The 22,665-nt window shown below is 54.5% G+C and overlaps 2 protein-coding genes, 1 long non-coding RNA gene and 1 other non-coding gene across 4 annotated transcripts in view; 3 read left to right on the forward strand and 1 right to left on the reverse strand.

The window, feature by feature from the left end:
• TMEM63C (transmembrane protein 63C) overlaps positions 1-9,476 on the forward strand; it is a 77,698-nt gene extending 68,222 nt beyond the window's left edge. Inside the window, exons 22-24 of the mRNA NM_020431.4 lie at positions 1,770-1,879; positions 3,286-3,357; positions 6,507-9,476. Coding sequence (NP_065164.2) covers positions 1,770-1,879; positions 3,286-3,357; positions 6,507-6,707 — 383 coding nt within the window. The 3' untranslated portion in view covers positions 6,708-9,476. The remainder of the gene's footprint in view (positions 1-1,769; positions 1,880-3,285; positions 3,358-6,506) is intronic.
• Positions 9,477-9,799: 323 nt separating this feature from the next.
• On the forward strand, positions 9,800-13,808 carry LOC124903351 (uncharacterized). Its single transcript, XR_007064276.1, has 2 exons — positions 9,800-11,123; positions 13,371-13,808. It is a non-coding gene; the product is annotated as an uncharacterized LOC124903351 (long non-coding RNA).
• Positions 13,809-15,463: 1,655 nt separating this feature from the next.
• NGB (neuroglobin) lies at positions 15,464-21,187 on the reverse strand. Its single transcript, NM_021257.4, has 4 exons — positions 20,830-21,187; positions 19,196-19,307; positions 18,447-18,566; positions 15,464-16,651 (listed from the first exon to the last, which is right to left on the reverse strand). Exons 1-4 carry the CDS (start codon positions 20,916-20,918, stop codon positions 16,517-16,519), a joined length of 456 nt encoding a protein of 151 aa, NP_067080.1. The 5' UTR covers positions 20,919-21,187; the 3' UTR covers positions 15,464-16,516.
• Positions 16,199-16,271, forward strand: MIR1260A (microRNA 1260a). Its single transcript, NR_031661.1, has one exon. It is a non-coding gene; the product is annotated as a microRNA 1260a (primary transcript).
• Positions 21,188-22,665: the final 1,478 nt, after the last annotated feature.

Raw genomic sequence — 22,665 nt, forward strand, 5'->3', positions numbered from 1 at the left:
AGATGAGGTCTCACTATGTTGCCCAGTCTGGTCTGGAATTTCTGGGCTAAAGCGATCCCCTGGCCTAGGCCTCCCAAAGTGCTGGGATTATAAGCGTAAGCCGCCGGTGCCTAGTGGTAGATGCCTGGCTTTATGGGTTGCCAAAAAACCTGGAAGAGGAAACAGAGCCTGCAGTAGGGGCCAGCTTTTTCCTCACTCTTTAGCTACACACAGCTACTGCTCCTGCCCAGGGGAGCTCAGAGACACCCTCCCAGAAGCAGTCCCTGCAGGCCACAGATTAGAAATCTCTCAGCTTTCTCCCCGTTGGAGGCACCTTAACCCCCAGCAACCCCCAACCCCACTGCCCTTCCCTCAGACACCTGACCTTAACCTTCTCAGTGGTGGGAGAAGGGAGACGCGGTGTTTTCTTTCTTTTTTTTTTTTTTTCTTTTGTTTTTAGAGACGGAGTCTCGCTCTGTCGCCCAGGCTGGAGTGCAGTGGCCTGATCTCGACCCACTGCAACCTCCGCCTCCCGGGTTAAAGCTATTCTCCTGCCTCAGCCCCCTGAGTTGCTGGGACTACAGGCGGGTGCCACCACGCCCCGCTAATTTTTTGTATTTTAGTAGAGACAGGGTTTCACCATGTTGCCCAGGCTGGTCTCGAACTCCTGAGCTCAGGCAATCCGAGGCAGTGTTTTCTTTTCTCTCCCTGCCATGGTGGCATCCATACGGTCGACTCTCAGTCATTTATGTGGCTTACCCATTTGCCATCACCCCCAATTGCTTATCCCGCTAGCCTTTCCCTGCCACCCCAGAGACTTCATTTTTTCCATAATGCTTTTTTTCTAAGAATAAAGGACTGCATGTTTATCATCAAAAATAGAAAAAATATAAAGACCAACATGTAAATGACCCATCATCTTACCCAGAACCTGATGTCTTTTGTTCCCAGCCCCCTTTCCAGGCATGCGCTTTGGGGCTTTGGGCATGGGAACATTGAGAGGGAGCAGTTGGTCTATTGTTACTTTGCAAAACTGCGATAGTCCATATTGTAACATTCAGTCCTGTACCCTGAGGTTTTGTACTGAACACAATGTTCTGAGCAATTTCCTAGGTTGTTAAAAGACTGAACACGTAGGTGCCTTTCAGCGGTTGCATGAAAGTCTACCAGTTTTAGTCAGTTCTCCGTGATTGGATATTGAGGTTTGCCACTTTTTGCTACTATAAAAACACTGCAGTAAGCATCATTAAGCAGTGATTTTTGGCTGTAAAGCATAATTTAAACAACATTTACCTAGTTAGAAAACTGCTGCCGTAAAAAAGGGATCAAATATTCCCAAATGTAATGTAGGTGACTTTTACCTTCTAGATTCCCTCTCTGTGCCATCGGTGCAGATAACTGAGCATGCTCACTTCAAAAGGGCTTGCAGGGAAAGGTGTAGGTCAGAGATGGCGTTGGGGGCACTGGCAGAAATAGTCACTCAAAGATACTTCCCAGGGACGATGGTGTTGGAGGTGACCAGCAGGTCAGGAAGGACACATTTAATGGGCACTGCAGTGGGTACTGAAGTCAATTAAAACATTTTTTCATGGACTCCACAGATGCCAAATTCTAACAGAGCAAAGGGATGATGTTATTTTGTCAGACTCCTAGATGCCAGTTGTTATCAGAGGAGGACTGGCAAGGTCAAAGCCCTTGCAGTGGTGCTGTGACGGTCCCTGGCATCTGCCAGTTGGGGTGGCATCTCGGCTGGCAGACTCCTGCCCATGACTTTTTCTCCTCCTCGGCAGGTTCTCTCCACGCCATCACCATCTTTTCCCTGTCCACCCTCCTCATTGCCATGGTGATTGCCTTTGTTGGCATTTTTCTGGGGAAGCTTCGGATGGTTGCCGACTACGAGGTGAGTTGCCAGCCTGCCCCTCCTCCTGGTTCTCTTGGTCCCTGGGGGACACAGCTGTAGGATACTCTCCAGGTCTGGGCTCCCATAGCACCACAGGATGAAAGGGTCTCGCCTTTGTCTCTGACTGTAGAGCGTGGAGCCCAGTGTGCATGCGTGCATGCATGCGTGCATGCCTTGCGTGCATGCGTGCATGCCTTGCACTAGCTTAGGCTCTGGCCCCCATCCAGAAGACAGCTATCCTCTCCTTTTCTGCCCTCTGACACCTCCTCCAAACTGCAGGCTGCTGCGATGTGAGTCCAGTGCAGCCACTGAACTGTGAGCCTCCAAGGACTGGAGGCCAAGAGAGAGGATGGAGCAAAGGAGGTTGCGGGGGGAGTTGCTGATGATTCAAAAAGAGGGGGGATTGTCATTTTCTCTCCTTTAAGACCCCAGGCTATTGAACTTGAGGTGGCCATGTTTGGAGGTGGCCCCTGCCCCACATGACTCCTTTGGTTGTTGGCAGTGGGCCCAGCCTAATCATTAGGAGAGGGGAGCCAATCCATGCCCTTTTAGAGCCATGCCAACAACTGTGTGTTCTAGCTCAGCATTTCCCAGAATGGATGTCTATCCTGGGGCACTGGAATGATTTCCAGTGGATCACAACATAATTTTTCATTTTTCATGGTTACGTATTTAACATTAACTTTCTGCCTATGGCAACTGAAATACAGTTTTCTGTTTATAATAGTGAATTGTTTCCTTTTTAAATGAATGTATATAAAGAAAAGAAAGCTGATTTTAAGGACTGACACACTACTGAGCCTGAGGAGGGACTCGGAGGAGGATCTCTTTGCTTCTGGTGTCTCTGTCTGTGTCCAGGGCTCTGGGCACAGGTGCCCACTGCCCTCTCCGCCCAGCCTTCCTTCTCCACGCCTGGCTGGAACACCACACTAGTGAAGGGTCTCGTGAAGGACCCCGCTGACTCTGTCTAATACAGCAGCATTATGTGATTGGGTTGGCCAGGTGTCCACTCTAGAGAAGGAGAATGGCCAGGAACCTAGGCTGTGTTGGTGTAGGACACTTTCCAAATTAGAGGGGAAGCCACAGGAGGAAAGACGACAGTGCTGAAGTCAAGGCTTCTCCTGGAGTCAAAGCAGGCTCATCTTTGAACTTCAATTCCAGCTCTGCTTACTTCCCCCAGTGATGGCCCTTGGGAATAGAACATTCCAGAAGGGACTCCCTTGCATCCCAGCCTTCTCTCTGTCCCCCTGGGTCTCAGTCTTGCCAGGCTGAAGGTCTGGAAAGACAGAAGATGAGTTGAGTTCCAAGGTGGTGAGAAGCCCAGGTGTGGAGTTGAGGCTCCTCTGGATGAATGGGGAGGGGCAAAGAGCAGGCCTCCTGTAACCCACCACCTCTCCCTGCTGCAGCCCGAGGAGGAGGAGATCCAGACAGTGTTTGACATGGAGCCAAGCAGCACCTCCTCCACGCCCACCTCCCTCGTGAGTCCTGAGTCCCAGGGACAGGTTGGGAGGGTGGTGCTTGCAGGGATGGTCTACTCTAGTGGCATTGTGGGGGATGCCAGCTTTGCTGCCCACTCTGGGTATGGGGAAGGAGATGGGGGACCCCTGGGCTCCCTCCTCTAATGGAGCAGGACTTGGCCCAGGTCCAAATGCTGCCGTGGTCCTGGATGAAGAGTGAGAAAAAGAGAAGAGCCACCGTGTACTCGGCATTGTCTGGAAGGCACCTAGAGAGGAAGTACTTGGTCAGGGAGGCCGAGACCACAGCGACCTCGGTCATGTAGACGCAGGGGGGCCTGCTGAGGATTGGCCTCGGGACCAAAGGCTGCCCCTGAGGCACAGGTGCAGGCAGAGCGACACAGACAGAGCTTCAGGGAACTATTAGAAGTCTGCACTGATGGTAAGGCAGGGACGCCGAAATGAGCGAGCCTGTCTGCGTGCAGAGAGGCTGGCTCAGAGTGCAGAGTGCAGGGCCTGCAGGCTGGGTGCTGTCTCTCACACAGTGGCTCGGCCTGAAGGGGAATGGGCACAAGCACCCACCCGCATCCCTGCCACAAATGCAGCTTCAGAGCCACCAATGCACACACTGAGGTGGGTACTGGGTCAGCCTGTGCCCCAAGGCCAGGGCTCCTGGGAGGAGCTCTGAAGAAGGGTGCCAGGCTGGCACTCGGTGAAAGCATCCCAGAGGAGGGAGCATTGAATCTGACCCCAGGAATGGGCATACGGGGTGCCAGGTGAAGTAGGGTGTGGGGCAAGAGTTTTCAAGGAAGAGGAGCAGCCTGTGCGAAGGCCTGGAGACAGACCGGAGCTTGGGGGACTCAAGACAGTTTTCGGCACGGTGGAAATGCGGAGTGGGCGGCAGGGCCCTATGGGAGACAAGGCTTTCTTTAGTTGTGGGCAGAGCTGGGAGTGAGTGCACGGTGACAGAAGCACAGACAAAACACCAGCAAGTGGACAGAAGTCACCGGAGTGCCAGGTTTGCCTCACTTTGAAAAACCCTACACACAGGCACAGATTATCTCTGAGAGGGGACAGGAGTAGGTGCTTCCATAATGAAGAGACCACAAGGATTTCAAAGCAAGAAAGTCTCTCTTTTCTTGGGACCCTTCCAAAAGGACCCCTCTTGGAATATTGTTAGCAATAAGTTTTTGAAATCTTCTTATGAGCCTGGCGCTTTGCTGTTTTCGCTCTTAATCTTTTGATAAACCCACACAGTAGGGATTTTCATCCCCAAATGGAGGCTCAGAAGTTCCGTCAATATAGAGTCCAGGGCACCAAGCAAGGGAGTGTCAGGACAAAGGTCGAACCAGGTCCATCTGACTCTAAAGCCTATGCTTTTAAAAAACACGACTAGGATTTATTTTTTAAATCTTGCCTTATTACCACAGGGCTATATGAACATCGCACATCATTATAGGGGGAAAGGATAAGCAGAAATAAGAAAATAAAAAGTCCATATTCCCACCACCCAGAGATGACCACTGATAGTGTATTTTCTTGCAGATATTTATATACTATGTATCTCTTCCAGATAATTATGTATGATTTACATAGTTTTGCTAAAATGAAATAGTACTGCACATACTGTTTTATAACCTTTTTTTGTGGGGTGGGGAAACAGAATCTTGCTCTGTTGTTCAGGCTGGAGTGAAGTGGCACCATCTTGGCTCACTGCAACCTCCATCTCCTGGGTTAAAGCAATTCTCCTGTCTCAGCCTCCCGAGTAGCTGGGATTACAGGCACATGCCATCACACCTGGCTAATTTTTGTATTTTTAGTACAGATGGGGTTTTACCATGTTGGCCAGGCTGGTCTCGAACTTCTGACCTCAGCTGATCCACCCGCCTCGGCCTCCCAAAGTGCTGGGATTACAGGCGTGAGCCACCACGCCAGGCCTATAACCTGCATTTTTAGTTAACAATCTTTTTCCATATATATAAATTTTTTATCTCTTTGAACACCCAGCCGGTATTCAAATTGCCTTAATTGTTCCAGAAGTATCTTTTAGAGCTTGTCCAACCCAATATCAAATCTAGCACATGTGCCTCAGGTTTTCATGTCCCTTTTATTTTAGCACAGTGCCTTTTAAATGACTTGGAGAGACCAAGCCAGCAGTCCTGCAGAATGTTCCACCTGGATTTTTCTGGCTGTTCATGATGTCTTATGACAGGTTCCATGATCTCCTGAATGCTGGAAGTTAGATCTGATGGCTTGATAGATGCAAGTTCAACATGGGGCTAGAACACATTACAGGTAGTGCTGCAATTTACACTCAGAGAGATGTAACATCCTGTTAATTCCCATTCATTAATGATGCCGTCATGACCTTCTAATTAGGGGAATGACAGGTGGATTTTTCCATGGTTCAGTTGACATTTACCCCTTTATGACCAAAAGGTCATCTAGATGGCTTACTTTGGCACCACGCAAATGTCTAGATTCTTTTGTAGGAAAACCGTTCCTTCAACCAGGGCTGTTTGGTTTCACTGAAATAAACTCCTATGGGAAAGGTTTCATTCCATTCCCTAATAACCTATTTTCTAAGTAAGGAGATGGTTTAAGAGCCACTTCAGAGGATGACAATTGCTCTTCTTCCTAGTACATCCTGTGTTTTTCTATCTGCTGCCGTCCCAGGCATGGGGACCATTCCTGGGTGTGACAGGTCATGTGACCAAAGTCTCCGCTAGCAGTTCCACATCTTGAGGACAGGCCAAACCAGTGACAGATCCCGAGGGAGTTCTGAATGTGCTGCTGAAGCTGTATTAGAAGGTGCACTAGCTCAGGAAAGAGGGTCTCTCCAGACCTCAGCTGAGGGGAGCCTCATGTCACCTCCCCTGGATGCAGCTTGACTTGGAACTGAGAGTGAATGGGACATGTTCTAAAGGAGCAGTGGACTAGGAGTGGGGAGTCCTGCCACTGAACCAGCCCTGGGAGCACCTAGATGCTCATCAAATGATCAAGAACAATTAGGTGGGTGGGACAGACAGGACCCAGGCTGCTGGGGAAGAAGGCAGGCTCCAAGGTCTGGAGGAGACAGAGGCGATGGGGGTGGGGCATGAGGGGAGAGGGTGTGCCCAGGGCCTTGCCCCCAACGTGACCTTGCTCCTGTCCCCTGTCTCTATCCCAAGCAGCTGTATGTGGCCACCGTGCTGCAAGAACCGGAGTTGAATCTGACCCCCGCCTCCTCCCCAGCCAGGCACACCTATGGCACCATGAACAACCAGCCGGAAGAGGGAGAAGAAGAGAGTGGTCTGAGGGGCTTTGCGAGGGAGCTAGACTCGGCCCAGTTCCAGGAAGGGCTGGAACTGGAGGGCCAGAACCAGTACCACTGACCGGGACCTGAGGCCTCCACTGGCGACTTGTTGAGGGGTCAGGGGAGGGCCTGGCAAGGGGAGGCAGGAGGGTGGCCTGGACCTCCCCACTACCTCCTGCAGACTTTGAGAAGCCCACAGTGGAGACATCCACCACCCCAGCCATGGGCCATACGGGGGTCCTGACCTGCTGCCCGGCTGGAACTGGGGGTGCTCGGCAGTGCTGAAGGAGCCTGGGAAGGGATGGGAGGATACAGGCAAGCACATGTCTTGAGAGAGGTGGCTGGAGCCCCGGCACAGAGACTGAACGCTGGGGTCCCTTCCTGGGACCAAGATGGAGAAGGTGTTCCTAAGGGAGGAGACAGAAGGAGGCTGCCGAAGGCTCTGTGGGGTCATCACCACTCTGCATCAGCTGCCCTTCCAAGGAGCTTCTGCTGCTGCTCCTCCTCCCAGCCCCGGCCCATTCCTCCCCTGCAGTCTGAGGAGGCAAAGGTATGTGCACGGGGCACATTGACAGGACACGGAGGACCACCTCATCACAGGGTTCCCTGCATGGGGATCTGTAAAGAGAAAGTTTCTGCACCCACCAGAGCAAGAGCCAACTGAAAGCGTAGACCTGAGAAGAGGTAACTCAGCCCCTTCCTGCTCCTCTGCCCTCATCAGATGTCCCCAGGAGCAGCAGGGCAGAGGCCCTTCTTTCTATTCTTACAAGGGTAGCTAGAGCGTGATCACTCAGGGCTCATCAAATGAGACTCGTGTGCATTTTTCAGAAGGAAACCTTGGTTAGTCCTTGCTGGGTAACACAAAGTGGGGTGAGACGACAGAAGCCGAATTCATGGAAGGGGGGTCTTCTCCCCAAAACTCTGTGTGGTGGGAAACCAGCTATACCTCCCCAAGCCCCAGGGCCTAAAGAGAAGACCCCCGAAGCCAAAGATGTGGCCACTTAAAAGCGTCTCCTGCCTCCTACCCAACTGAGTGCCTGGGCCCCCAGCTTGGCCAAGATGGGCAGTACGTTAGGGTAAGAACCCCATGCTTCAAACTTAAGGACTGACCATCACCTGCGTCCCAAGTAGGACCCTTCCTCCCTTCTCGGGGCTGCCCCTGCACCCTGCCTTGAAGACCACCCAAGCGGCCTCCAGTGTGGGCCTGGTCCAGACATTGCAGATGCTTCAACCGTGATGTCGCCCCAGGCCTGCCAGGGGTGTGGTGGAGGGGAAGGCCACGTGCTCCAGGGAGAAGCCCTTTCTGGAGAAGCAAGGCTGTCCTCCCAGGGCTGCCACTACCAGAGACCTGGGGGAGCTGAATTCCGAACAGTGATGGTGACACTCAGCACCTTTGCCACAGCCGGGGGGAACCGGCTTCTGCCTCTGGGATGGGCTCTCATCAGGACCACCGTGCAGCCCAGCCAGGGAGGACATGAGAAGGGCCAGTGGGGGCCTCAATGAACCAGAACAAGCCAAGCTGAATGGGGTCTGTGTGCTCCAGGGCCCTCTTCAGCCCCCTCCCCCAAAGGTCTGGGTCCCTGCCACCAACCTACTGAAGGCCGGCCCCCGGCTCACCTCACCTGAGCACCTGCACCAGGCCCCAGGCACATGGCTGCCCTGAACTCAGATCACCTAGACCTTGTCCCTGCCCCACCTTTGCCCCATCCTAGCCCCAGAAGCTCCAAGCTTCACCGCAGGTGAGAAATTGTGCTCAATGGGCAGAAACTGCTATACCCCCAGGGCATGGCCCACATTTTGGCATGAGGGTGTCTTTCCAGAGAGCTTGGGTTGGCTGGAGAGAGGCTGTCTTTCCCATTCCTTGTCCAGCTAGGAATAAAGGGGAAATGGTCCTAGCCTGGCCCCTACACACCCAGGTCCCACAGGCCCCCTCCCCACTGGAATTTCACCAACCAACAAGGGGAAAGTACGCTGTTACAGCATAGCGGTCAGGCCCAGCAGGAGCTTGGCACATGATGGGGAGGTGGCCAGCTCCAGGCCCTGCCCGACCCCATCATGTGTATTTGGTGTATGGGGTGTGGGGGGTCACACCAGAAGCTGGCCTGGGGTCTCTTCTTTGCTGGACACAGCTCCCTGGCCCCTGCCCCCAGCCCCTGCAGCCCCTGCCGGACTGTGGAAGCCACATATGGGAAAAGTCCTGGCAGACAATGTGGCGGGATGACTGGGGGCTTCTCCCTCTGAACCTGGGTCCAGTGTAGCCTGGCTCTGAGAGAAGGTGGTGAGCATGTGGAGAAGGTTCCATAGTCCACTCTTAGGGGAACCAGCAAAGCCTCATGGCAGTTGGCTCCATCTGGACCTCCCATGGTCACTACAGGATGGTGGAGCAGGGGGCATCTTTTAGCCTCCCCCCGCCACCACATCCAGGCCCTCTCAGGCACCTCCTGCCTCAGCCCACACCTGCCTCACCCATTGCCCCCCTCCCCCCACCTACTGCCATCCCACTCCTCTGCCAGCCACTTCCCAGCCGCCCCACCCCACTCCATCCACCAAATCACCTCCTGACTTAATCCTTTCTGGAAGGAGCTGCCGCCCAGGAACCGGTATTGCCTAGAGCCTCCAGGAGGGGCCCTCCTCAGGCCTCCAGTGGCCCCATGCCCACCTGCCTGACCCTCCACTGCCCCTGGAAGCAAAGTGCCTATCAGCAGCGTTGCGTCCTCTGGGGCCCCCGGTCGGGGGGGAGGGGGTGTGGGCTAACCTTGGCCACCACCACAAAAGGAATGTGCCAGAATGCTGAACCTTCTTGTTAATGCTATGACCGTGCCTTGAATAAACAAGTCCTCCCAACCTCTCCTGGCCCCTGCCTCTCTGCCTGTGCATCTGGGCCAGCCTGGCCTTGCTCCGCTGTGCAGTGGAGAGAACTTTCTGGTCCTTGAGCTACCCAGGAAGCCAGCAGGGCAGCCCCGAGGAGCAGCAGAAGTCTCTGGTGAGTGCTGAGCCCCATGAGCAGGCCACTGGGCTAGGCTAGTGGCCAGACTTCAAAACACACAGATTTCAGGTGAGGCCCCAGGAAGAGCGGCAGACAGGGCTCAGGTCTGCAAGAGGATGAGGGTGGGGGACTTGGGGGATGGGGGAGGTGGAGGAGAGGTTGGGTGGAGGAGAGGTTGGCACGAGGGAAGTGTGTGGGGCAGCCAGGTGGGATAAGAAACACCCGTTAGCAAAGGCTGTTATAACTGTGGCAAGGAGACAACAGTTCCCTGCCCTGGCGGACACATCTCAGGGTCAGGAGACTGGTTCTGTCCCTTCCTCCAGCAGCTGCATGACCCAGGCTGGTCACCTCATCCAGACAGTAGGGCTGGGAGGACATGAAGCGGACTGTTCTGCTTCGTGACTGAGCAGAGCAGATTTGAGGGCAGAAGATGGGAATCTTGTGGGTGTGTTGAGTAGGGGGAGACTTCCTCCCGCAGTGCTCCCTATGGGGACAGAGGATGACAGTCTCAGGGTGGCTGCCTAAGGACTCTTTCCTGCATCATCCTCGCTGGGTCCTCTCCGCAAACTTCTACGGTCCATCAGTGGCCACTGACTCAAAGTCTACCAAGGTGTGGGCCTGGGCGTGGGATCAAGACCCGTCCACTTGTCCCCTCTCCCCCTCAAAACAATTATTTTCCAAGTCAAGTCAGCCCTTAAAATCCACAAGGGCTGCTTCGCAGGAGAGAAGCCATGAAGACTCCCTGACTGGACGGGACGGGGCTGCGCCCTGCTGCTGCCTCTCATGGTCCCCTCCCAGGGGCCGGCAGCTCCAGGGTCCCCAGATGGCAGGCCTGGGACACTCTGTGGTTCAGCAGACCTTTCGAGGGCCTTTTATCAGGCAGAGACTGAGAAAGAGACAGAAAAACAAGCCGAAGAGGGAGGGCGGTCTCCCCAAGGATGGAATGTCCTCCAGGGAGGTTAGTGTTGGTCAATCCTCTCTCCACTCAGCAGGCCAGGATGGACCGGAGGCCTGAAGGTGGATTTACCTGGGCTGGGGACGGGACTGGGGCAGGGCAAGAGGGAGCCCCAGGAGGCTGGCTCCACTGGGCTGTGCCCAAGAAAGGATTGGAGCACGTGACCGAGTGCTGCGCAGGGAGGAAGCAGCGGGGCCTGAGAGTGCCCCATGCCTCTGCCCAGAAACCAAGCCTGGGGCTGCACGGGGCCCCGCCAGGGAAGCCTGAGGCAGCTCACTTCTGTCCTGAGGAACCTCCTTGCTGGCCAGATTCCAGGTTTCTAGGTCTGCTCTGTGGAAGGCCTTGCAGAGGCGAGGAGAGCCTGGTCTATGGGGAGACAGGTTCCCAGGCTTTCTGAACAGAGGCTGCTTTCAGAACATCTGACAGTCCCTCGGCCTGGACAAGTGGCAGCCCGGCAGCTCTCAGCCTCAATTCCCAAGGTTCTCCAGCCCAGCTGCAAAGGAGAGTCACTCTCAATGTCCAGGCCCCATCCCTGAAAAACCAAAATTTCTCAGGTGGGGCCCAGTACCCTGTATTTTACAAAAGTCCCCCAGGTGATTCCAGTGTGCAGGGAGGGGTGAGTGGATAAGGAAAACAGTCCCAACCTCAGGCACTGCATGCCCTGGGTGGCCTCAGCATCTCACCATCGCCAGCTTAGAAATGACAACTCCCTAGCTCAGGCACGCTTCTGCCATCTTTATCTTCTTTTGCAATAAGTATGAGTACCATGTGGGCCCGAGGGCCACACACCAGGTGTCAGGGGCACTTCTGGCTACCTTGTCATCTTCAGCAAGGGTTCAAAGACTGTCCCTCTTCCCTCCCCTCCAAACACAGAGCCCAGTGGCTTCCATGACCGCCTGCCCATTTCCGTGCAACAGAACGTGACAAGTGCAGTAAACAAATAGGCCTACATAATGGGGTGTCAGGGAGAGACAAAGCCGGATAGGGGCAAGGGGTGCCTGTAGGTGGGGAGAGGATGCTTTGCACTAGAGAGGCCAGCACAAGCTCTGTGGAGGTGAGACATGAGAGCCAGCAAAGGGTCTGTGGGCACACATGCGGAGCCCAAAGAACCAGGCAGAGTGAGCGAGGGGAGGAGAGGGTGGGGCGAGGTCTGAGTGGGCAACAGGCTGTGCAGGCCACGCTGGGACTCCAAGTTTCACTCATCATCTGAGAAACTATGGGAGGATTCTGGGTAGGAGTATGATCCCCTTATGTGTTTGTTTTCCAGGTTTTTTTGTTGTGGTGGTGGTGGTAAAGTACACATAATCATATTCACCATCTTAACCATTTATGGGTTTTTTGTTTGTTTGTTTTGTTGTTGTTGTTGAGACAGAGTCTTGCTCTGTCACCCAGGCTGGAGTGCAATGGCGTGATCTGGGTGCAGTGCAACCTCCGCCTCCCAGGTTCAAGCAATTCTCCTTCTTCAGCCTCCCAAGTAGCTGGGATTACAGGCATATGCCATCATCATTTTTGTATTTTTTAGTAGAGATGGGGTTTCACCATATTGGCCAGGCTGGTCTCGAACTCCTGACCTCAAGCAATCCGCCCACCTTGGCCTCCCAAAGTGCTAGGATTATAGGCGTGAGCCACCGCGCCCGGCCACCATCTTAACCATTTGTAACTGTCCTGTTCAGTGGCATGAAATACATTCGTAATGTGCAACCATTACCACCAGCCATCCTCCACAACTCTTTATCTTGCAAAACTGAGACTGTATACCCATAATCAATAATTCCTCATTCCCTCCTCCCCTTAGCCCCTGGCCACCACCCATGTAACTCTTATGTGCTGAAATGGTCACTGTCACCAGGGTAGGACAAGTAGAAGCAGAAAGCCCAGCTGGGGCCAGGTGTGGTGGTGCACACCTGTAATCCCAGCATTTTGGGAGGCTGAGGTGAGAGGATTACTTGGGGCCAGGGGCTTGAGACCAGCCTGGGCAACAAAGCAAGACCCTATCTCCACAAAAATTTTAAAAATTAGCTGGGCATGGTGGCATGCACCTGGAGTCCCAACTACTCGGGAGACTGAGGCAGGAGGATTCCTTGAACCCAGGATTTCAAGGCTGCAGTGAGCAATGATCATGCCACCACACTTCAGCCTGGGCAACAGAGTGAGATCCTGTCTAAAAAAAAAAAAAAAAAAAGCCCAGTTGGGACTGTGTCAGAGGCATTCAGGAGAGAGAATATGGTAGCTTGCACCAGGATAGGGAGTGAATAAAGAAGCAGTTAAACTTGGAACAGAGGTTGAGGATTCATGGATGATTAGATGTGGGGTCTGAGGGAAAGCAGGAACGCAAGGATGACTCCCAGATCTTCAGCATGAACAACTCAGCACACTCTGGTTTGAGGTGGAGAAAGCTGGGAAGAAAAAGGCCAAGGGAAACCCCAAGAGTTCCATCTTGAGTGTGTTCTGGTTAAGATGCTATGTGGGGATGTCAAGAAGGTGGCTAGATACAGGAGTCGGGCTGGAGATGTCATCAGCACCTGGGTGGTGATTAAAGCATGGGACTGGCTGAGACTTTGATGGGAGCAGGTGCAGGTGAGGAGGTCTGAGGGCTGAGCCAGCACAAAGAGATGGGAGGAGAACCGGCAAGGAAAACCAGGAGGGACTCAAAAAGGAAGGAGGGTGTCCCCAGCTCTAACCACGCTTGGCAGTAAATGCGGTGCATAGAGGAATAAGTCAAAAGATGCCACGAAGCAGCTTCAGCCAAGTGGAGAATGCTGAACAGGCCATTAGACAAATGACCCACTTCTCCCACACAGCAATGGTGAGGGGAAATGGCAAGAGGGGCCAGGCCAAAGTGAAAGAGTGAAGAGACACAATCAAATGCGAAGTGTGCATCCTGAGTTGAACAAACCAACTGCAGAGAGACGTCTGGGAAATCTACACGTGGATGAATGTGGGCCATCAGGGAATTTGAATTAGGTGATGATGAGAAGATACCGTTCATCTTGTTAGATGTATTGATGGCGTGGCTTCATATGTGAAATAAAGTGCCAGCTAGAAATTCATATGGAAGAATTTACAGGTAAAAGAACATGAAGTCTTGGATTTGCTTTAAAACTCTCCAGCAAAAACAAAGAAACAAAAACAAAAATGGGAGGGGGGTGTGGTTGGGGGAAGAGGTGCATGGAGATTCCCTCATCTCTTGATTCTTGTGTATGTTAACATTTTTCCATAATAAAAAGTGTAAAAATAAAGGCATGACCAACTTTTTCGAGTGCTGCTGAGCAGGAGAGGAAGATAAGGACTAAGATGTGACTCTACATCTGGCAAGATGAGGGTGGTTGGTGACCTTGACTGTAGTAGATTGAAAGTGGGGGCAAAGCCTGGTTGAAGCAGGTTCCCATCCTCCCATAAGAAGTGAGGAGATGAAAACAGCAAGGAAAGACTGCTCTTTCGAAGGGTTTTGCTATCAAAGGAAGAAAAGAACCAAAGGGGTAGCTGGAGAGGAAAGGAAGTGAGGGGTTGTTCTTTGTATAGGAGGGGAGATGTGGGCTGATAGAGGAGGGATGCAGGAGAGAGGGCTGAGCCCTTGAGCAGAGGAGGAGGTAAGGGATACTCTCCCCTGATACAGACGTGCGTGCATACACGCACACGTGCACACACACATGCATACACACGCGTGCACACACACCAGTGCATGCCCATGCACACACGCACTCACACCTAAGTAGAAGAGTGGCTTTCAAAAAAGGTGAAAGCATCCATGCTTAGGATGACTCAGACACAGGTCAGAGGAGGGCATTAGACCTTTCCAAAGCCAGGCCACCTAGAGAGCTGTGGGCCAGACATGGACACCTGAGCCTGACCCATTAATAGGTCACACAGCAGATGAGGCCCTCACTCACTGCAGCCTGTAGGGCTCCAGAAAATGCTCTGGGCACCACAGCGGCCAAGGCGTTCCTAACATGCTGCAGACCCAGTGCCTGCAGTCACATAGCCTGGCAGGCCTGGCATCTGAGCTTAAAGAAAATGAGGCCCCATCTGGGAGCTGGCAAGGCCCCGTGGGCATCTGCTACATTCAGTCTTGGCTGAGAAACTGGAAGCCCAGGGCGAGGACAGCCAGCCCAGGCACAGGCCTTGCAGCCATGCGTGGGCTTCGGGCCCGCCGCCGAGGCTGGAACACATGGAGGTAACCCCAAACCTGCTCCAATCATGCCTACTCAACACAGCTTCTCTTCCCCACGTCCCTGGCTGGCTTTCTAGCCCACAGCCTGTGGGGTCCCAAGCCCCCGACCAATGACCTGCTTCAGACCATGGATCAGTGCGGGTATGGGTTTAACTAACCCCAAAATGTGTAATGGCATAAACACAAGAGAAGTTTGTCTCTTTCATATAAAATTCAAAATGGGTGATTCTGATTAATAGGCACCTTCCTCCAAGCAGCGATTCAGGGTCAGGACTCCTTTCACCTGTGGCTCTGCCATGTTCAACACGTGGCCCTCATGGTCTCTGTGAGGTCTGTATCACACCAGCAGAAGGATGACAGAGCATGGAGGAGCATGCAGGAGTTTTGGGGGACCAGGCCTCGGAGTGGCACACACATCTGCACGGTCCAGCGGCCAGAGCCCAGTCACATGCCCCACCTAATTGCAAGGGTGGCTGCATGACATCCAGCTGTGTGCCCAGGAGGAAGAAGAGCTGGTTTGTGGTCTGCCAGCCAGTTTGGGCCACAGACCCCACAGATGTCTGCCACTGGCTTCCCAGAGCTTCCTCCCAGGCCCCTCCCTCCTGTTCCACCCACTCCAGCCTTGGCCTCCCTGACTCCATCCTCCCATCCTGTCCTGAGATCCACTGCCCTGCAGCTTCATCTGGCACAGGCCAAGACCCAAGAAAAGATCAGGCCCGAGGGTCAGAGAGGCACACAGAACCAGTTTATTTCTCATGAATTTATAGGACCACAGTCAGCACAGAGCAAATGGTACAAGTGCAGATGGCTGGGGTGAGGGCGGGGGCCTCTGCTGCTGCCTTCTCTTCTCTCCAGCTGCCTGAGTACTGGCACACAGCGGGCAGTGAATCTGAGGAGCTGTGGCCTCACAGTCGCTGCAGGCTGAGCCAGAAAGGAGGGCCAGGGGAGGTAAGACTCACTCCTGCAGGAGCGGGTTGGTGATGAAGGGCTGGGGGAACTCGGGTCTCTCTGGGATGAAGTCACCCCTCCTTCCTGGCCGGTCCCCAGCCCCTCCCCACCTGGCCAGCTAGCTGGGTTCCTGCAGCAGCGGAATAGTCAGGGAGTTCCCAGCAGAAGTGCTGAATGAGGGAAAGGGAATGCCGCCAAAGGAAACCGACTCTGTCAGGGCATCTGCACAGCCCGCGAGACTCAAATGAGACCCATTGAGACCCAGGTCCCCCTTCCCTTCCCTGGCAGTTCTGATTCTGCTCCCACTGCCTGGGATTCCACCAAGAAGGCTAAAGCTGCTCTTTCTCTTTATTTGTGAAAAGCAAGCCATCTTGGGGCAGGAAAGCAGTGAAGGGACTGGGCAGGCAGGACAGAAGGCGCTGGAAGCTCAGCCATCTCACCCCCGCCTTGGCCTGCACTCACCTGAAGAAGCAGGACAGACAGAAGAGCCCCATCCTCTCCCACCTCCATACCTTTCCAGCTCATCCCACCTCTGCCACCAAAACACTCATCGCGGGGTCAGAGGGAGTGCCAAAAAAGGTAAAAAGAAACGCAAGAAAGAGGCTACTGGGGATGAGGGGACACCCAGAAGCCCCTTCCTGGAGGAAAAGCCACTCCTTCTGCAGCTGGACTCTAGGATACTGAGACCCAGCCCTGCCCCATCACCTCTCCAGTGTGGCCAAGGGGACAAGGACCAAGATGCAGGGAAGCTTGGGGAGCCTGGGCTACAACAGATACAGGCCAACAGACAGACACAGATGGATGGGGGCTGCCGGGCGGGGTCGCCTCTTACTCGCCATCCCAGCCTCGACTCATGGCCTGCACTACGGCCCCGTAGAGTTGGCTCCAGGCAGCCCGTGTGGCTGGTGTGAAGGCAGGGCCCAGACACTTCTCCAGCATGTAGAGCAGAGACTCACCCACTGTCTGCAGAGGCAAGGGGCACCTTGTCACTTCCAAAGGCAGAAAGGCACTGCTCCATTCCACAGGTGAGAAAACTGAGGCCTAGGACTGATTAGGGCTCCTGGGCCTTTTTTCCTCTCCTGCATTGAGTCCATGCTTCCTGAGCAGGGTCCTACCCAAATCCTTGGGTATCACATTGTGTCTACCTTTCCCTCTAAATGTGAGGCTTTATATCCTCACATTTTTCACCCCTGTCTTGGTCTTGCAACCACCCCATGAGTGGGGCCAAGACATTGCCTGGGACCTCCCAGCTTAGACCAAACCAAGTCATTGCTCCCAGACTTGAGTTTCCTCATCTGCAAGGCAGCAATGATGGGGTTAAGAGCCTGGGCTCTGGAGCCAGATAGACCTGAGTACAGATTCTGACTCCACCCTTCATCAGCTGGGTGACCTTGGGTAAGTTATGTAACCTCTCTGAGCCTCAGCTGCTTCATCAGTGATACAGGGAAAGTAGAAGCTCCAACTCCTGGGCCTGTTGGGATGATTAAATGGGATAATCCAGAAAAAGCTCTTAGCACAGCATCTGTATACAGGAAACCTACAATGATAATAGGCCAGGTGCAGTAGCTCACGCCTATAATCCCAGCACTTTAGGAGGCTGAGGTGGGCAGACCACTTGAGCCCAGGAGTTTGAGACCAGCCTGGTAAACATGGGAAAACTCCATCTCTACCAAAAATACAAAAATTAGCTGGGCATGGTGGTGCATGCCTGTAGTCCCAGCTATGAGGGAGGCTGAGGTGGGAGGATCACTTGAGCCTGGGAGGTTGAGGCTGCAGTGAGCTGTGATCACATCACTGTACTCCAGCCTAGGCGACAGAGCAAGATTCTGTCCCCAGAATAAATAAGTAAGTAAATAAATAAATAAAGATAATGGCTCTCATTTGCCATTATTACTCATAATAAAATAAGGTTTATTTATCTCACAAATATTAACTGAATATCCACTGTAGCCCTGGTAGATCAGGCACTATGCTGGTGCTGGGGATGGAGAGGAGGACAAGACCAACACAGCTCCTTCCTCAAGGTGCTCACCATCTGGCAAGGTGACTGGACTGTGTGGTGTACTGTCATATCAGTCGCCCCCAGTGGGCTACACCTCAAGGATTCATGCCCTTGAGTAGGGTCCTCCCACATTGACACTGGGCTTATCCATGTGAGTGGCTTTGGCCAATGGGACATTAGCAAAAGTGATGCAAGCAGAGGCTTTATAGGCACTTTCACACTGGGGCTTGTCCTCTAAAAACTCCCCCTTGGAACTCAGCTGCTATTCTATAAAGAAGCTCAGCTAGACTAGTGAATGACAACAAATCACAGGGACAGAGCTCAAAGGCTGACAGGCCTTGGACATTCTAGCCTCAGTTGAGCTCCCAGCTAAACATAACACACAAGTAACTCCAGCTACACCATGTGGAGCAGAAGAGCTGCCCAGCTGAGCCCAGCCATGAGAAATCGGAAAGCATTGTCATAGTTCTAGGGTTGTTTGATACATAGCAATAGAAAATTGAGCAGACCAGCTGATCCCAAAAGCTTGTTAATTTTTATGGTTTTAAAAGAAGCCATATCAGAAAAGAGAACTTGGAAGCTCAGAGAGGTCAAGCCCATGTCAGGGCCACACAGCAGGTAACAGATGCAGGCCCGCAGCCCTGGTTATCTAAGGATATGGGAATGGGAGAGAGAACAGGTGGCAAGGGGAGGTCTGGGAGAGAGAAGTGGCCCCAGGCCAGGAGCTCTGGAGAGAGTCAGAGCTCCTTTACCCACCGAGAAGGAGCTGAGCTTCACACCCACTGCCCGGTGCTTCCTGCCCAGGCTGGCAAGGTACTCCTCCAGTGAGGACAGGTCTTCCACATTGGTCACTGCAGCATCAATCACGAGCATCACCTGCCAAGGCCAAGGCAGCAGTGAAACAGAGAGGCCAGAGCAGCCCCATCTGCTCACAATCACAGCCCAAGGCATGAGGGTCCCAAAGCAAGAGAGGCCAGTAGGACCCTCAGTTCTCCAAGATCAGGGGTCAAAGGCAGCCTGTGTCTACTACATGTAGGGGGCACCCGATACGTGGTGGCCAAACTACTAATGTTATACCCATGAAGGAAGCCTCTCTCCTCTGAGAAATTCACATCTCTAAACACACCTACTGGAGAGTGTTGTCTGCTGGGACAAGGAGAAACTGAGGCCCTTTGAGAATCATGAGATTCTAAGAAAATCTCAGCCTGATTTTCATAGGCAGATAGTTCCCAATTACCAGGATCTGTGCTAACACAACCTATGGGAGCCAGAGGACAAAGGCAATGACACAGGCTGGGACCAGCTCTCTGAACGCAGGGTAGGGGAAGAGGCTGATTCTGATGTCCCAGACCAATCCAGCCCAGAGGGAAAGGAGCTGTACCCTGCTTGGGGGAACTGGAAGGGAGTAAGACTAGACCTGGGGCAGAAAGTCATTTTCTCCATTCTCCACCAGGGAGGTGCTCTGCTGGATCCCAGAGGTCACAGCAGCTCTGCCTCCCTCTCACCTTCCTGATGTGGTCCAGGAACTCAGGCGAGGAGAGACAGTCCTCTGGGCTGGAGAACTGGCGGCAGTTGTACTGGAAGAGGGGCAGCAGGTCAGGCTCCAGGGCAAACAGCCTGTGGGAGTGAGGCCCAGGTGTTAGCCCTGGGGTGTGAGCTCCTGCAAGCCCCAGCAAGCCTGGCTGTCCTGCAGTCAGCGGGCGGGGGTGCCAAGCCAGGTCTCAGCTGCAAACCACAGCTGACTCTCCCACCTGGCACTGCTCCCCCGCCAGCTTCGGTAGTGCCCTCCTCCTCATGCCTTCTACTGGCTCTGGGCAGCATCCTAGAAAGGGCAAATGTGTCCCAGGGCCTCTGGTAAGCAGGGGTCCCTCGGTGAATAGCTGAGGGGTGTGATTTGGGACAGGAAGAGGTCCCCAAACAGGAAACCTGGAGTTACGTTGTGTGGAGAGGAAAGCCCTTTCTCTCTCTCTCTCTCTCTCTCTCTCTCTCTCTCTCTCTCTCTCTCTCTCTCTCTCTCTTCTCTCTCTCTCTCTCTCTCTCTCTCTCTCTCTCTCTCTCTCTCTCTCTCTCTCTCCCTCTCCCTCTCCCCCCCCCCCCCCCCCCCCCCCCCCCCCTGCGCTGAGTACTTTCCGTGTGGTTAACTTTTAACTGTATTCCTCACTGTCCTAAGCAGTGGGTACAACTGTTATCCCAGTTTTATAGAGGAGAAAACAGAAGCCCGGGGAGGCTAGAACTCGCCTAAGGTCACACAGCTTGGATGTAGTGCAGCCACAGCGGGTGCCTGAGAAAAAAGTGAGCTGGGGGGAGTCCGGAGGCAGAAGCAGAGGCCCTCCTCGGCATTTGGGAGGTCTCACCGGGTAACTGAATGTTTTCCCCTTTTGTCTTGGGGGTGGTTTTGCGGAAGCCTGGGTAGAAGTTCTGGACTGTCCAAGGGTGCCAAGGATAGGTAACACCACGGTGAGGGAAGCAGTGCCCGGTTGGTGATAGCGGAAGGGTTACCAAAACTGCGAGCTGAGGTTGGAGACTGGCCTTCCCTTCCCACCCGGCCTGCACACCCCCCACCCCTCTCCCCTGCGGTGAGGCTCCCGCATCTGTCACCCCTTCCCCGGCTGCTCTCTGGCTCTTTCCTCGGAAAGGTTTGTCTTGTTGGTTGTCAGGGATCCACACACCTGGAGCCAGACCGCTCACACGCGGGCGCAGGAGCTCGCCCCACACATCTCCCTTCCCCGGCTCTCGGGGCACCCCAGTACCCTGATACCGGCAGCGGGGTGCACCCCTGCAGTCGCTACCTAAGGAAGACGCAGGAGGCACAAGGCGGGGTGGAGGCGCCGCGCAGGGACGGAGGTCCACCCGCCCAGATGTGGGGAGATCCGCGGGAGGGGATCCCGCCCGGCCCGGTGAGCCCCGCTGGGAGAGTGGTGTGCGGCGCTGGTTGGCAACAGGCGCCCACGGTCGAGAGAGAGGCAGAGGGGCTGTGCCACCCGTCGCCGCGCCCCGCTCCTCTGGCGCACATCTGGCAGGCGCCCCAGCGCCCCGGCAGCGGCCAGTTTTCCCTCCTTCGGGGCCGGTCCTGCCGCGTGACCCCTTTCCCGCCGAGGCAGCCTCCACCCGCATCCCCGGGCGCTCGTGTAGCCCTCACCTGGCAAACAGGACGGTGCCGTGCTCCAGCGGGCTGCGGCTCACTGCCCGCCAGCTCTGCCGGATCAGCTCGGGCTCCGGGCGCTCCATGCTGTCCCGGGGACGCGGAGCGCGGGGCTGGGACCCTCAGGGCTCGGGTGCCGTCACCGCACGTGCCGCGCCATCTCCTCCGCGACGCGGTCCCCTCCGCCCCTCGTACGCCCCCCGTGCCTCCGCCCGGCGGGGGCCGCAGCCGCTCCTTCCCTGGCGCGGGAGAGAAAAGGCGCGCGGCCAGTCGTAGGTGGAGACACCCCAGCTGTGCTTCCGGGGACCCCGCTTGGCCGCTGCGCCCTGCGCCCCGCAGCCGCCAGAGCCGCCCCACCCCGCGACGCCTGGGCTGGGCGCTTTAAAGCCGCCACGGCCCCCGCCCCCTCCAGGCCAGCAAGGCGCGCGCTCCCTCCGCCAGCCGCTATGGTGGCCTGGGAAAGGCCCGGCCTGCAGAACGTAACTGACATCGCGGAGGCTCTCTGGGCCTCAGTTTCTCCTCCCGAGCCCCGAGGGCACTGTGTTGAATTTGGTCGCCTCAGGTAGGCGCTGCATGCGCCCCCTCTCCACAGGCCCCTCAACTCACGCATTGCCAGAGGCATTTGAGTTTGCCACCCACCTGGCCTGCAGGTCAGGCCTGGGGAGGCGGCCTAGGGGCCTAGTTCTCGGTCTGACTAGGGCACCAGCACACGTTGGGGGCCACCAGGGCTTTCAGCCGTAGGGACAGGGCCAAGACCACAGCCATTCCCAGCCAGGCCTGGGTTTTTTTGAGACTCCATCTTTAGAAAGCCGTGAGATCCAGTTCTAATCCCAGCTCTGCTTGGCCAGGGTGGAATCTTGAGGGAGTTCAGCTCTAACATTCTACCGTTCCATGATTTAATTTTAATTTTAATTTTAATTTTTCACCTCTTCCCTCCCTGGGCCTTCCCCACTTCCATGATTTTTCATCTTTTTGTTTGTTTGTTTGAGACGGAGTCTCACTCTGTCGCCCAGGCTGGAGTGCAATAGCGTGATCTCGGCTCACTGCAAGCTCCGCCTCCCGGGTTCACGCCATTCTCCTGCCTCAGCCTCCCGAGTAGCTGGGACTACAGGCGCCCGCCACCACGCCAGGCTGATTTTTTGTATTTTGAGTAGAGACGGGGTTTCACCGTGTTAGACAGGATGGTCTCGATCTCCTGACCTCATGATCCGCCCACCTCGGCCTCCCAAAGTGCTGGGGATTACAGGCGTGAACCACTGCGCCCGGCCTTTTTTTTTTTTTTTTAACGGAAGTACTGTTTAATTTTTTCAATAGAAGTTCAGATAATAGAATCCATGCTCCCCACTCAGGGTGTGCAATTGGCCACCTGCCAATTACAACTAAACTTTTCTCTTTCAAGCAGAAAGTTCCTCAAGCCCCAGCCCAGTGCTGGTGGCCCAGGTTTGGGAGAGCAAGCCCGTTTTCACCTTTATTTCTCTCTCATTATTCCCTCAGGGGTCTCCGAGCCTATCTCCTCTGTCTGTCCACGCCTCTCTGGCCCTGTTTCCTCAGTTGTGCAGCAAAGGGGTTGGGTGGTGAGGTCTCTGGGACCTTTTAGTCCACCTCCTTTAGTTCCATGGGTAGAAGGTGGGTGTTCTTGAGCCCCTGGTTATGAACAGCTGGGGCTCCATGCCCAGCCCTGTGCTAGACATGGAGTGGCGAGTCCTGGTCTTTAAAATTTCTCCTTCTGGCCCTGAATCAGAACTGAGTGCCTCAGCAGAACTTTTCTTTCCTACTCCTAGCCATGCCCCAGGAAATCATCTAGCTGTTCTCCCTCTTCCAAGGACTCAGGAG

This window comes from Homo sapiens, chromosome 14 (genome assembly GCF_000001405.40).
Source record: "Homo sapiens chromosome 14, GRCh38.p14 Primary Assembly".
NCBI classification, from domain to species: domain Eukaryota; kingdom Metazoa; phylum Chordata; class Mammalia; order Primates; family Hominidae; genus Homo; species Homo sapiens.

Bases quoted from the DNA above. Each gene is read 5' to 3' on its own strand.
- NGB (NM_021257.4), bottom strand. From the start codon at position 20,918: ATGGAGCGCCCGGAGCCCGAGCTGATCCGGCAGAGCTGGCGGGCAGTG. The intron at 19,308-20,829 runs GTGAGGGCTACA...TCACTCCCACAG, and splicing joins GGCACCGTCCTGTTTGCCAG to GCTGTTTGCCCTGGAGCCTG. The intron at 16,652-18,446 runs GTGGGTAAAGGA...TTGCCTCTGCAG, and splicing joins TGAAGCTCAGCTCCTTCTCG to ACAGTGGGTGAGTCTCTGCT.